General features: G+C 40.9%; 1 protein-coding gene across 7 annotated transcripts in view; it reads left to right on the top strand.

Moving 5' to 3' along the window:
* Nucleotides 1–15495, top strand: part of IPCEF1 (interaction protein for cytohesin exchange factors 1) — a 202308-nt gene that overhangs the window by 55584 nt on the left and 131229 nt on the right. For all 7 annotated transcript variants that reach the window (NM_015553.3, NM_001130700.2, NM_001394799.1 and 4 more), the window contains one exon: nt 11464–11507. The gene's annotated coding sequence lies outside the window, so the exon portion shown is untranslated. The remainder of the gene's footprint in view (nt 1–11463; nt 11508–15495) is intronic.

Here is a 15495-nt window from a genome sequence, read left to right as displayed (position 1 = left end):
ATCAGGGATACACATGTAGACCATAGACTACGACAACAATGATTTTAACCTGGAAAATCTAAACAGGTGTAACTACATGTTGATTTCAACTCTAAAATTTAAATACAGCATATATGTAATATTTTAAGGGTGATTAATATAACTTTTGGGTGTATGTGCCAAGATAATTGACTGTAAAATATGCTTTAGTAAGTGGCCGAGTTAACTTGTTTTATAGATTTATTGATTATAAGCCACTTAAATGTGGAGCTAAGTCTAACAAAATAATTACTTTGGGTTTAGAATAGCTGGTCTGTAGCTCTTCCTTTTCAGTGGTCAAGTAACAGGGCAACTTCTCCATTAAAGCCACTCCTAGTTCATAACAATAAAAGCCATTGTTTTCAAATATAACAATCTTTATTTACTTACCTAAAGAAGTAGAGTGCTGCCAATTTCATCCAAGAGTAATTTGCTAAGGGGCATAAAATGTCTGTTTCTTCAAAGCCCATGGGGAATCTGGTGTTTACGTGTTGGACTTTATGTTTTTTGGGGGGTGGCGGAAAAATCTACTTTGCTTCTTTTTTTGTTGTTGTTATTGATATTGTTAGTGTTTTTTTGTTGTTTTTAGACACAGGGTCTTACTGTGTCACCCAGGCTGGAGTGCACTGTTGTCATCATAGTTCAATGTATCCTTAAACTCCCAAACTCAAGGGATCCTCCCACCTCAGCCTCTCAAGTAGCTAAGTACTACAGTGCACGCTACCATGCCTGGCTAATTTTTACATTTTTCTGTAGAGACGTGGGTCATCATATGTTGCCCAGGCAGGTCTGGAACTCTTGGCCTGAAGCGATCCTCCTGCCTCAGCTTCCTAAAATTCTGAGATTACAGGCATGAGCCATCACATCTGAGCATTTGTTTAACAAAGAAAGAAAAAAGGAAGCCATGTCTCTCAATACCTACATTTAAACAAATAGAAAATAAATATTTTCAGAGGCTCAGTTGAAGAATCAGAATAAGTAATAATACTCTATGTTTAACCTAAAATTGCATCTGCTTTAGACTTTACCCACAAAGAGGTCTGCCTGCATTTCAGCTTTCATGAAGTTGTAAAGTAATTGTTCTTTCCTTTTGGGAGGGAAGACAAAACACCGTTCGCAGTCATGGGAGAAATGCTTCCTCCATGCATGGGGCTTGGAAAATGACTGGTGAGGTGAAGTCTTCATTCACTTCGGGGTTTCATTTTTAAAGTAATATGCCAACTGATGAATGTTATACATGATTCGGGCACAGAATTGCTAAATTTTTGCAAAATTGAAGAGTATAGATTCACAGTTTTCCAAGTTTTTTTTTTTAAGTCATAGACTACTTTCTTTTTTCTTTTCTTTTTTTAAACATTTTATGGTATTTGCTTTATTGCTTATCAGTCCTTTTATCCATCCCTCTATCCATCCATCAACCCATCTTTAATTTTTTATTTTATTTCGTTTTAAGTTCCAGGATACATGTGCAGGATGTGCAGGTTGGTTACATAGGTAAATGTGTGCCACGGTGGTTTGCTGCACCTATCAACCCATCACCTAGGTATTAAGCCCAGCATGCATTAGCTGTTTTTCCCGATGTTCTCAGTACCCACACCTCCCCTAGAAGCCCTAGTCAGTGTGTGTTGTGCCCCTTCATGTGTCCATGTTTTCTCATCGTTCAGCTCCCACTTATAAGTGAGGGCATGCAGTGTTTGCTAAGGATAATGGTTTCCAGCTTCATCTATGTCCCTGCAAAGGACATGATCTCATTCCTTTTTATGACTGCGTAGTATTCCATGATATATATGTGCCACATTTTCTTTATCCAGTCTGTCATTGATGGGCATTTGGGTTGATTCCATGAAAGACTCTTTCTTTGAATGAAAGTATGCCCTGCAGCCCAAGTGAAACTGCTAAGTGTGGACCCGCCCACCTCCCCTAGGCTCTCAGCAATTGTCCCCTGGTCTCTTCTCTCAGCTGCACAGAGCCTTGCTTATTGTTGGGCATGGAGTAGCTTTATCCCAGCTTAATAAAGCACTCATGGGAGGACCGAGAGGGGCTTTAGGATGCTAACCACTGACAACAGGATTTTAAGGCATGAATGATTCACAACTGATTTGTGAAAGAAATAGCAGTATTTCCTAAACTCTTTGGGTTAACATCCTGGGATAAAGAGGAACATTGGCATTCTTCTTCCTTAGATTATGTGTGTATGCATGTGCACAATGCTAATATTGGTAATCTTTTTTTTTTTTTTGAGATGGAGTTTCGCTCTTGTTGCCCAGGTCGGAGTGCAATGGGGCTATCTCAGCTTACTGCAACCTCCGCCTCCTGGGTTCAAGCAATTCTCCTGCCTCAGCTTCCCAAGTACTTGGGATTACAGGCATGCGCCACCATGCCTGGCTAATTTTGTATTTTAGTAGAGACGGGGTTTCACCACGTTGATCAGGCTGGTCTCAATCTCCTGACCTCAGGTGATCCATCCGCCTCAGCCTCCCAAAGTGCTGGGATTACAGGTGTGAGCCACTGCGCCCAGCCATAATGTTGGTAACCTATATAAGAGTTACTCATTCTCTGCTGAAAGAAGAGACTCTTAACCATTCTTCTCTCTTTAAAGGAAGATTGCTCTCCATTTTCTTTGCTTTCTTTGGGTTTGAGTCATTTTTCAGTTGAATTAGCAGGGCACAGTCTGTTTCTTCAATGAACAAATAACAATGCCCTCTTGATTCGAGATTATATAATTGACTATGACTCATGAAATGTTTGCAAAGTCAAAGTGAAACTGCTGACTTACATTTAGTTTAAGTTTTGATTAAGAGGTTCTCTAGGAACCAACTCTGCAAAGACATTTTGGGGACCACTTGGGAAATCGTTACATCAAAATGGGGTGTATCTGAAAGCTTATTACAAGATATTTTGTGACGTGTTCTCAAAATGTTTTCTTAGAAAAAGTTTTTATAGTTCTCTGAAATTGAGCCAGAGGATCCTGAATCTGACATTTTTTTTTAACTAACAGTGAATTTTTAGTTGAAACAATCTTTGCATTCTGCCATTTATGTAGCTTTTATTTAAAAGAACATAGAAATGCTAAATGATGAAATAAACTATTTTGGATAACCCTACCCATTGAACCTCAAAAGTGTTCCTGACCTTGTTCTTAGAAGCACTTCTGTGCTTTATATGCTGGTTTTCAAACACTGAAAATGTTCATGTGGACTTTCACATTGTTCTGCACCCTGGGACCTCACGCTCAACAGCTGAGATAAGAAAAGAATGCTCTTCAGAGCACTGCGGCTCATTAGAGTGCTGTCCAAAATCTCATCCATGCCTAATAAAGTTAGTGGAATGTCAGGGCCTCTACTGTGATGCAAGGATCTAAATGTGACTTCTCAAGCAGCCAAAATATTAGCTGTCATCCCCGTCCATGCAGAGCTCTAAGACTAGGCCTTGCAGACACAAAACTGTATGTACAGAATGACCCTTGTTATGTTACAAATTTTCAAAATGAATAGAAGAAAGTGGACAGGAAATGCACAATGAGTTCACAGTGGGTACCTGTGGACCTGGGGATGATGGTGATTTTTGTTTTCCTCTATTAACTTTTTCTTTTGCATTTTTAAGCTTACAACAATGCAAATATGCATTTGTAAATGTCAAAGCAACATAGTTTTCTAAAAAGTGGAATAGATGCTGTAGTTATTGGCAGAGCCACAATCAGAGTGAGGACATGGTGACCATGAGCCCTGAATGTAGGCTGCCCAATAGCATTGCCAGACCTGCACGTCAACCTGGGGTTTAAAATATGCTCATGGTAGGGGTGCTGAGTCAGGAACCTGCTACAAGCCAGAAGGACCAAACACCTAGAAAGGTAATGACTTTGGGCTGGGCGCGGTGGCTCACATCTGTAATCCCAGCACTTTGGGAGGCTGAGGTGGGTGGATTGCATGAGCCCAGGAGTGCAAGACCAGTCCAGGCAACATGGTGAAACCCCGTCTTTACAAAAAATACAAACATTAGCTAGGTGTGGTGGTGTGTGTCTGCAGTCCCAGCTACTCAGTGAGGCTGAGGCAGGAGGATCACCTGAGCCTGGGGAGGTTGCAACTGTAGCGAGCCATGATCATGCCAGGCTGGGTGACAGAGTGAGACCCTATTTAAAAAAAAGAGAGAGAGAGAAAAGAAAAGAAAAAAAGAAATGTAATGACTTTGGACCAGTGGGGAAGCAGAGAGAGCAGCGTCATCTTATATCGCACATTTAGGATCTGCATCCAATCCTCCTGACTTCCACTGTGGCTGGGGCCCTGTCAGCCTTTCTCACTTTAATGTTCTTTGTCTGTTTTTATCCAAAACCGTTGAGGATGATATTCTCTTTTTTTTTCTTTTTTTTTTTTTTTGAGACGGAGTCTCTCTCTGTCGCCCAGGCTGGAGTGCAGTGGGGTGATCTCCGCTCACTGCAAACTCCGCCTCCTGGGTTCACGCCATTCTCCTGCCTCAGCCTCCCGAGTAGTTGGGACTACAGGCGCCCGCCACCATGCCTGGCTAATTTTTTGTATTTTTAGTAGAGATGGGGTTTCACTGTGTTAGCCAGGATGGTCTTGATCTCCTGACCTCGTGATCTGCCCTCCTCGGCCTCCCAAAGTGCTGGGATTACAGGCGTGAGCCACCACGCCCGGCCGATATTCATTTTAACAACATTTTAGGTGGTACATACGTTTTGGTCAAGGAGAGATACAGACAGAGTTTTTCCTGGGTGTTGGTAGTTGCCAAAAATGAATCTCTAGCCTGGGAGTTTCTAGGGCATGCGGTGGAGTTGAGGGTGGGCTAAACAGGTGAAAAGATGTGGCGCTGGCCTCTAGGAGAAGCAGAGAAGGCAACGGTGGATCCGAGAAGTGACTTTTGTGTTTCACACTCCCTTGTCTTCTTTACATCCTCTTCTTATAGCAGCTCTTCCCCTGCCTCTGGTGTTCCTGTCCTCTTGGTGCCCTCTGGGTGGTCAAAACCCAACAAGAGCACCCCTTGGAATCTGCTTGCCCAAAAGGGCTCCTTTCCCTTCATTCCTGTTTTGTTCCTTTCTTCCCTATCTCCCTGTGCTTCCTTTATCCTCATGAAATGTATGCACAGAGCCCACAGCATATTTAGACTCAGAACACTGAGAAGTTTGAGAGTAGTAGCTGTCAGCTCCTTCATATAGCTAATAATTTGGGACTAATATTTTGAACAGTGTCAGGGAAGACAGTGTGCTAACATGACCTGCTACATTAGATGGCGGCCAGCCAACTGCTAAGAGTGTGTGTGTGTGTGTGTGTGTGTGCGTGTGTGTGTGTGTGTACGCATGTGTGTGTGTGTGTGTGTGTGCGTGTGCACATGTGTGTGACAGGCAGTCACCTCCTGGCTGTCAGAGAGCTCCAGACAGTTCAGGACAGAGGCATGACCAGGAGTATTGCAAGAGTCCCAAAGCCCTGGGCAAGAGAGGCTAAATTTCTCTGCAGTTTTAGCTTAGACATGTACAGACTTAGCTGATGGACTCAGATCCACAAAAGGCTGGACTGGAGGGAGAGCCATGGGGCTGCTGGCAAAAGCCAAGATGAGCCAAGAAGTCTAGCAGTGTGGGAAGAGGCAGCAGATCCTTGTGCAGGCGTCGCTGACCTAGACCCCCTGTGCTCTCTGTTCCCCAAGCAATGCTCACAGCAAAGTGTGTGCCACTATGGAAAGTCCTCATCAATGAGCAGAAAGAGGTGTGTGTGTGTGTTGGTGGTGGGGTGCGGTGAGATGGGGGTGTCCAGAGGAGGTTGGGGGCAGCACGGCAGCCACCCGTGAGCAATGGAGTGGCAGCTGCCAACAGAGCAGTCAACAGCAGCCACAGCGGCAGATGCCAGGGCAGTGGTCTTCATTTGTAAGAACAGCACCACCTTCACGGGGTTGCTGTGAAAATGAATACTTAATGCATGAGCAGCATCTAGCACATGACTGTACAAATTAAATAATCAGAGCTTAATAAATGTTGGCTATTAGTATTTTTTTTTTTGAGATGGTGTCTCACTCTGTCGCCCAGGCTGGAGTGCAGTGGCGCAATCTCAGCTCACTGCAATCCCCGCCTCCTGGTTTCACGCCATTCTTCCGCCTCAGCTTCCCGAGTAGCTGGGACCACAGGGGACCGCCACCACACCCGACTAATTTTTTGTATTTTTAGTAGAGACGGGCTTTCACCGTGTTAGCCAGGCTGGTCTCGATCTCCTGACCTCATAATGTGCCCGCCTTGGCCTCCCAAAGTGCTGGGATTACAGGCATGAGTTACCACGCCCGGCCAAGTACTTTTTTTAAAAAATAATTTTTATATTTTATTTTTTAAAAGAGATGGGGTTTCACTCTGTTGTCCAGGGTGATCTTGAACTCCTGGTGGTGTAGGACTTTCTCCTTAGTTCAGCTAAAAGCCAGGTTCTTGTCACACAACCATGAAAGATTAGGCTCGCAGACACTTTGAAGGGTGAGAAGGGCAGGGTTTATTGGGCAAAAAGGAAATAAAAAGGGAAACAGGGACTCTCAGCAAAGTGAGAGTTCTGCTGGTAGGCTTCCTGCCTCATAGGTTGAATTCCCAGTTACCACCCCAGAACAGGGGAAGCCAGAATCCTCCGCTCTGCAAATGGTGTGAAATTCATGGCTGCACCACAGTGCACACACCTCCCTGTGCACAGGCCAGTCGAAGGTTCTCGGGAAACCCCTTTATACTTGGCTGTCTCACTGGGGTCAAACAATCCTCCAGCCTTGACCTCCTAAAGTGCTGGGATTATAGGCATAACCTATTGCATCCAGCCTCCAGTACTTTTATCATTGGTGTTTCTGTGAGATTTCCTTACTTTTACCTACTTCTACTTATTTTCAAGTGGTTACATAGTTTGATTTTACATGATATAATAAAAAGGATTCGGCCCAGTTTTTGTTTTTAAGCAGATAAATTGCTTCTTAGGATGTATTTTAAAGGGTTAGATTACACCTGAAGTGGGTTGAACTTGAGCAAAGTTTTAAAAATAATTGTGTCTCAAAGTTGAATAAAAGAATTGGGCCCCAATGTCATTCTTTGCTTTAAGAGGATTGTGAGAATAACTAATAACAATTAGGAGGTTAATATATTATTGAAAGTGGTAATTTTACCAGTTTTGAACTCATGTTCAAAGACATAATTGGAATAATTTTCAATAGACATCAGTCTTTATTTCTTAGGAAATTACAGTGATTAAATTAATGGCAGGCAGCCTCTCTTATTATCTGAAGATAATAGGAGTCTGTTGAGGATTAGTGGGGAAAAATGAATGATACATGTTCTATTAAAGACTTCACAGTTGAAACATTTCTTGCTGCTCCCTGTCTTGCCCCAATTTATATATTTAAGCACAATCATCAGTGCAACTTCCTTTACTGTATTTGGCCTAAAAAATAATTCAAATGAAGAATAAGAATAATGCTTTTCTTGGGATTAAAGTAGAGAGTTTTCTTTTAGGGGGTGCATAATATGCCAATTCAAAAGAAAGTCATGTAATGCTCGAAGAGCTCTGTGGAAGTGGAAAAGATAGTTCATTTTTTTCTCCGGGTATTTTTCAGGAGTCTGTTCCTGCTTCTTTATGAAATTGAACACTGGACAGTAACAATAATATCACACTCATTATTCAGACATTTTAAATGGCTCTAATTGCTCTTTTGCTTTGAAGTGAGATATTCAGATCACTGAATGTTAGAGAAATGGTGCATGGATGAAGCAGTAAATGGATCTTGATCTGTTATCTTAGCTTGAGGCTTAGTAAAGTGGTTTTTGTCAGTGGACAATTGCAGCCTATTTTCTTGAAGATCTTTCTATACTGAAAGTGATTGAGATGGTACATCTGAGTCTGATGCCACCCAGATAAGCATCTGCAGTTGCGCTGACCTGGACTTGGGTTGTATTGCTTTTTAGATTTCAGTATCACTCTAAACCTTGTCTGGCTTTTGCCAGCTTCAGTACCCTTGACCTATAGGTTGGGAAACCTGTTTGTTTCTCTTTCTGGCTGGAATGTCTATTTAGAGATTCATGTTATAAGTTGTGACTCAAGTTACATACACCGATTCCCAAACTTTTCTTGACTTGATTCTTAACTAAACAGCACTGCGATTGTGAGGCCCCCACGGCAAAAAGTAAATAAGAAAAACTACCTAATTTAATATGCTGGAAAGTTTTTGTAAACATACAGATGACTCCTTCAGGAAATACTGTTTTCATTGCTTTGGAATGTAGGAGGAAGTGACATAAGATCTTGTTCTGGGGAGAAAGAAAGAGCTGGTATATCATTAGTTGCACCAAAGCAAAGGCAAAAACATGAAGAAAAGCCAATCACTTTGAGTGTTAGCTTACTCAATACAGCTAATACTCATTTATTTTAACATATCGCCCACTTTTAAGTTAATACCCATTTTTTCCACTGTTTCTGGTTTAACTCTTATAATTTGAAATAATTATGGTTGAAAAAATGTTTAGATAAATCATGATACCTCACTACCTTGTAGTTTAACACAACAAAATAAGAACTGTAAGGCAAAGAGTTTGGACAACAGGGAGTACAGGTTACAAAAGAGAAAAAGGGATCTAGATTTATTTGACCTGAAAATAGAGTTTCTTACTCTAGGGTGATTTTTACGGTAATTCTATACTTAAATTTTGGCCACTGAGCTAGACTTGCTGGTTGTATGAACTTGGATAAAATTCTATTCAAAAGAGGAAAGATGACCAAAATAAAAAACCTACCTCATGCGATTGTAGCGCAAATTTCATAAATTAATCCATATCAAAGCATTTTGTAAATTGCAAACTGTGACACTAAATTTAGTTTATATGAGGCAATCACTAAGTGTTACTAAGTGATTGAAAGAAAATATTAATCCAACCTGTTATGTGGTTTTCCTAATGTATACAAAGAAGGAAAGCATTCCAACCTGTGAGTACCTCTGCCAAAAATGTTTAACTTAGTTGTGAAGGAACAGTCAGTCAAATCCATATTGAGGGGTGTTAGGCAAAGCAACTGGCCTGGACTCTACAAAAACATGTCCTGAAAGGTAAAAGGAGACCGTAGACATGCCTTGGTGATCCCTGATTAAATCCAGGATTTAAAATAAAATATAACAAATCTTCCACACTGAAACAGACATCAGTGATACAATTGGAACATTTGGACTGTATAGTGATTGCATTTTGTCAATTTAAAATTTCCTGAGTGTGGCCAGGCGCGATGGCTCAAGCCTGTAATCCCAGCACTTTGGGAGGCCGAGGCGGGTGGATCACGAGGTCAGGAGATCCAGACCACCCTGGCTAACACGGTGAAACCCCGTCTCTACTAAAAACACAAAAATTAGCCGGGCGTGGTGGTGGGCACCTGTAGTCCCAGCTACTTGGGAGGCTGAGGCAGGAGAATGGCGTGAACCCAGGAGGCGGAGCTTGCAGTGAGCCGAGATTGTGCCACGGCTCTCCAGCCTGGACGAGAGTGCGAGACTCCATCTCAAAAAAAAAAAAAAAAAAAAAACCTTTCCTGAGTGTGATCATTATTAATAACTATAGTGGGATCATTGCTCTTAGGAGGTACATGCTGAAGTATATAGGGGTGAACCATCTTTATGTCTACAAGTGACTCAAATGGTTCAGCAAAATATTTAGATATGCAGAGAGATAAAGCAAATGTGGAAAAGTGTCATAATTTGGGAATCAAGGTGAAGGCCATCTAGGTGTTCATTGCTACCTATTCCTACAAGCTTTCTATAGTTTTAAACATTTTCAAAATAAAATTTTGGAAAAAAAATTTAAAAAGAAAAAAATCCAAGTACTCAAGTAGATTGAGTTATTAAAATACAGATCTTGAAATATGTCCTTTGCAGAACATGTTTTCCTACAATTTTATTTTTCTGTGAGATGCAAATATATAGATTTTAAAAAATAAAAATCTGTGTTTTTATAAATGTATGCTTTTAGGCAATGAATAGAATTATTGTTACTAATTTGAAATATATTCCCACTGGGCTGGGTGCAGTGGCTCATGCCTGTAATCCCAGCACTTTGGGAGGCCGAGACGGGTGGATCACGAGGTCAGGAGTTCAAGACCAGCCTGACCAACATGGCAAAACCCTGTCTCTACTAAAAATACAAAAATTAGCCAGGCGTGGTGGCAGGTGCCTGTAATCCCAGCTACTCAGGAGGCTGGGGCAGGAGAATCACTTGAACCTGGGAGGCGGAGGTTGCAGTGAGCTGAGATTGTGTGTGCCACTGCATTCCAGCCTGGGCCACAGAGTGAGACTCTGTCTCAAAAAAAAAAAAAAGGCAATATATTCCTACTGGAAAAATTCCAGGAAAATAGATAGAAGTTCTCAATCTATGTGCACATCTTTCGTGGTATTTAAAAGTGAAGTAAAAATGTATCATGGGGTGTGTTCAAAAGGATAAAACATTATTTTTACTGTCCTCTTTAGAAAAAATTAAATGTTGAGGATCTCAGTTTAATGATTTTTTGATAATTTGCTACCCAGATCTTCTTTCCTATGAGAGAAAACTTTTGTTTTCATATTTTGAGAGAGACAGTGGGAAGTTATTGTTAGCAGAGGTGAATCTGTGCAGGTCTGCACCAACTTGATTCTTGCCTCCTCGAAGGAAAGAATTCAATTGAGGGGCATGACTTAGAGTGAGAGACTGAGGCAAGTTTTTGAGGAGTGAGAGCTTATTAAAAAGTTTTAGAGCAAGAACAAAAGGAAGTAAAGTACACTTGGAAAAGTGCCAAGCGGACAACTTGAGAGATCCAAGTACCCTGTTTGATCTTTGACTTGGGGTTTTATACATCAGCATGGTACAGGGGTTTCTGTCTCTCCTACCCTGATTCTTCCCTTGGGGTGGGCTTTCCGCATGTGCAATGGCCTGCCAGACGTTGGGAGGGGAGCATGCTCAGTGTGTTTGCTGAAGTTGCATGCATGCTCACTTGAGGCATTTTTCCCTTACCAGTCGAGTGTTCCCAGAGGGAGGTCATATGCTAAACTCTGCCATTTTGCCCTTTAGTACACATACTTGGGCCCATTCGCCATCTCCTGAGATCTTATCAGGAAGCTGCTGATCACCAGCTTCAAGTGTTACTTATCTAATGGGAGACTGCCTGTCCCTGGCACCAGCTGCCACCAATTATTATTTTAGAGAGCCAGTTTAACAACTACCTGACCATCCCCTGGTGGTTTAACATTGCCTGACATTCCTGGGTGGTGGTGGTGGTGGGACTTTCCTGAACTGTTTGTGTTTGCCTAGCTGTCTACCCTAACATTATCACGATGATCAACTTACTGTTCTGTTGCTTATTCTTGGGGTTGATGTGGTGGGATTCTGATTTTAACCCAGGTGATTGAGTCCAGGCAGAAATCTCATGACTCACTTTTTTTTCCTCTCTCTCTCTTTTTTTTTTTTTTTTTTCCATAAAGGTCAAAGGCAACAGAACTGGACCAAGAAAATTCATAACTTTTTGGTATGTAATTGAAAATTCTTTGCAACGAATTCTTTCTCTTTAGTGATATTTATGACTTGAAAAGCTTGAGTTTCACTTTGTTATTCTAGTTTGTGAATCAAATTAGTGTAGCCTAGGTATGTTTATCCCTAGTCTAGGATTTATGCAGAGGGAAGTTGATAGCATTACTGACTATCTTTGGTCCTCCGAAGATTATTTTTCAGTGGGAGAATTAAGTAATTTATTTATTTATTTATTTATGGGTTGATTTTTTTTTTGCTTCTCTAAGAGTAAGGAATATACCACGACTATCAAAGTACTTTATAACTATAATTATGTGAAGAGTCTATTTTACAAGCAATTGCATGTTTAGATGCCCAAGTATAAACTGAATGCTCTAGAAATGGAGTACTTACTGATTTAAATTTACTAATAATAACAATTAAATATTTATATTTAATAATTATAGTAGAAGAGTAAAACAATCTGAAGATGTCCCCACCTCTAAAGTTTATAAGTTTACTCCTAATGATCTAGGAAAGACTGGAGTTGAATACCTGTGTAATTCTTCTCATTATTACTCTGATTTTCTATTATAAAATGATTTTAAAAGAATTATATGTCTTAGCTCCTCACTGAGGTATACATCTTTTATTTGGTTTAACTCTTGTTTGTTTGTTTGTTTTTGAGACAGTGTCTCACTTTGTCCCCCAGACTGGAGTGTAGTGGCATGATCGTGGCTCACTGCAGCCTTGACCTCCCAGGCTCAGGTGATTCTCTCACCTCAGCCTCCCAAGTATGCCACCATGCCCAGCTAATTTTTAAAATTTTTTGTAAAGAGGGGGTCTCGTTATGTTGCCCAAGCTGATCTCTCACTCCTGGCCTCAAGTGATCTTCTTGCCTCGGCCTCCCAAAGAACTAGGATTATAGGCGTGAGCCATTGTACTAAGCCTTAATTCATTTTTTTCCAAAGATGAAACACAACTTTAAACTTGCTGGGGAATTCAAAGGAAGCATTCTTTTTACAGTTTTTTTTTTTTTTTTTTTTTTTTTTTTTGTTTTTTTTGTTTTTTAGACAGAGTCTTGCTCTGTCTCCAGGCTGGAGTGCGGTGGCACGATCTCGGCTCACTGCAACCTCGGTCTCCTGGGTTCAAGCGATTCCCCTGCCTCAGGCTCCCTGGTAGCTCGGACTACAAGCGCCTGCCGCCACACCGGGTTAATTTTTTGTAGTTTTAGTAGAGAAGGGGTTTCACCATGTTGGCCAGGATGGTCTCGATCTCCTGACCTCGTGATCTGCCCGCCTCGGCCTCCCAAAGTGCTGGGATTACAGGCGTGAGCCACCGCGCCCGGCCGCCCACAGTTATCTATTAAGGACACATCTTTCTGTGACTGTATAGATATAACTGAAATCCTGGTAATTTTTCAGAAAGTATTAGCGTATTAACTTAAATGCTATTATTTTCTATGACCCAGACAATAATCACTATTGTCCTCAGTATGTAGTTTCTACCATTTCCAATTATGTTACAACTGTCTTTGAAACACTGTTAGTCATAACTCATTAGTCACCATTGTGCTTTTTGGTGACCATTGCCCTTCTCTTTCTTTTTCTGTAGTTATTAAAACCCGTTGTCCTGGTTGTCCAACTCATGGACATACAAATTAGCTTTGGTGCATACCTTAGCTGTATAGACGTCTTCTAAGACATAAATTCTATTGTTTCAACATGTATATAAAAGATACGCATTTACTGATGAGTCAGGCAGTAAGATGTCTGCATTGTCTTCTGCAGTAAAGAATGCTTTATTTACCATAAAATTTGATGTTTTGTTGAGGAATTTTAAGTGATGCTTTTTATATTCATATTTTTCATTGATGATATGCAGAACTGGTTACCCTAAGGTATTGACAAAAGTGGGTGATTTTACTATCTTCAAAAGTTGTCAAGTATGTTTTCTAGTATAACACTTCTGGCTCTCAGATTAGGGACCTCCCCATCACAGTGGGCATCTAGTAAGAGCATGGCTTGTTATAAGAAGCTGTGTTTGTTGGAAGACTGAATTCGATGAACTTTATAGTCTCTTGTAATAAAATAAGAGATAGCACAATGGTACAAAGGGGAGGCTCTGAGCTCAGAGGGCTGGGGTTTGAATCTTATCTCTGACACAAATACACACCAATCTGTATGACCTTGGGCAAACTGCTTAACCTTTATGCACTTCGCTTTCCTCATCTGTTAAATGGAGACAGTAATAGCACCCATAGCTGGTGTAAGGATTTAATGAGTTAATATGAATATAGCTCTTAGAACAATATCTGGTGCATTGTTAAGCACTTAATAAATATTAGTTATGATGGTGTATTAGTCCATTCCCACACTGCTATAAAGAACTACCTGAGACTGAGAAATTTATAAAGAAAGGAGGTTTAATTGGCCCATAGTTCCACAGGCTGTACAGGAAGCATGGCTGGAGAGGTGTCAGGAAACTTACAGTCATGGTGGAAGGTGAAGGGGAAATAGGCACAATCTTCACATAGCAGAGCAAGAGAGAGAGAGAGAGAGAGAGAGAGAGGGAGAGAAGGGCAAAGTGCTACACACTTTTAATATTTTATTTATTTTTATTTTTTAATTTTAAAAAAAAGAAAGGGGGCTTTGCTATGTTGCCCAGACTGACCTCAAACTCCTGAGCTCGAGCAATCTGTTATACACTTTTAAACAACCAGATTTCTTGAGAACTCACTCACTGTCATGAGAACAAGGGGAAATCCACCCCCGTGATCCAGTCACCTCCCACCAGGCCCCTCCTTCAACACTGAAGATCATAATTCAACATGAGATTTGGGTGGGGACACGGGGCCAAACAATATCACGTGGTGATGAATGATCTTGTCATCGGCCCTGGCCTTTATTCCCAGCAACTTGTTTTTTCAGATGTCCTTGTGTACTGCCTCGGTTCCACCTGATGCTAACATGAAGGCAAAGTTCAGACTCTTCACCGCTTTCTACTGAAACTGACATTGTGGTGTCATTTCTTCCATCACACTGCTCTCCCCATTCCCCATTTTACAGCCTCCACCTCTCTTCTTCCCCTCCCTGCCTCATTGCAGGTCTTTCTACACACATCCAAACACTGCTGGATTTCAGATTTTATGACAAAGGGGCTTATTATGATATTTTTCTAGCAAAGTCAAATGTTTACATAAGAGAAAGTCTTGAACCAGCTACTAAGATAATAAAATGTCCTCCATCTTGATGCAAAAGCATGTTAACAATTTTCGTCTTTTACTCCTGTCATTAAGCAATACTAAAGGAATCTTGTTTATCTAGTCACTCTAATATGTTATAGACATAGTTCTTTTTAAAAAGTTTTTATTTTACTTTAAGTTCTGGGATACACGTGCAGAACATGCAGGTTTGTTACATAGGTATACATGTTCCATGGTGGTTTGCTGCATCTATCAACCCGTCATCTAGGTTTTAAGCCCCACATGCATTAGGTATTTGTCCTAATGCTCTCCCTCCCCTTGCCACCCCCCACCCCCAGACAGGCCCTGGTGTGTGACAGACATAGTTCTTGGTTCAAGGGTGTGTAGTGGGAGCAAACAGTTCATATTTAGTTTTCATTCACATGTGCCTACATTCTTGGCCCCATAATTATTTTGAGCTCTCCACAGATTTCTTAAGCACAGAATGCTTGTCTAATTATTTTGACATATTCCTGCTGGGCAGTAAATATTGTGAAGTTTTATGTGAATGCATTTGAACATCAGGTTATATTTTTCTTACTATTTTTTACTTGCTATGGCCTATGAAACTTATGTTCTAAGAACTGCTTAATTTTGATTTATGTTACCAAGTGATTCAAGGTGTCAATGGACTTTTTCCAGTACAGAAACGTGTGGGGCCAGGTCTCACACCTCTAATAAAGAAACAACTCAGACTCCAAGGGTTTCTTGCCTTATTTTAAAATAAACTCTGTGTTAAAAACTTGTATGCTGGCAGTGAAGA

Source organism: Homo sapiens, chromosome 6 (genome assembly GCF_000001405.40).
Source record: "Homo sapiens chromosome 6, GRCh38.p14 Primary Assembly".
Classification (NCBI taxonomy): Eukaryota; Metazoa; Chordata; class Mammalia; order Primates; family Hominidae; genus Homo; species Homo sapiens.
The sequence above is the reverse complement of the archived record's forward strand: the minus strand, read 5'-3'. Positions and strand labels throughout refer to the sequence as shown.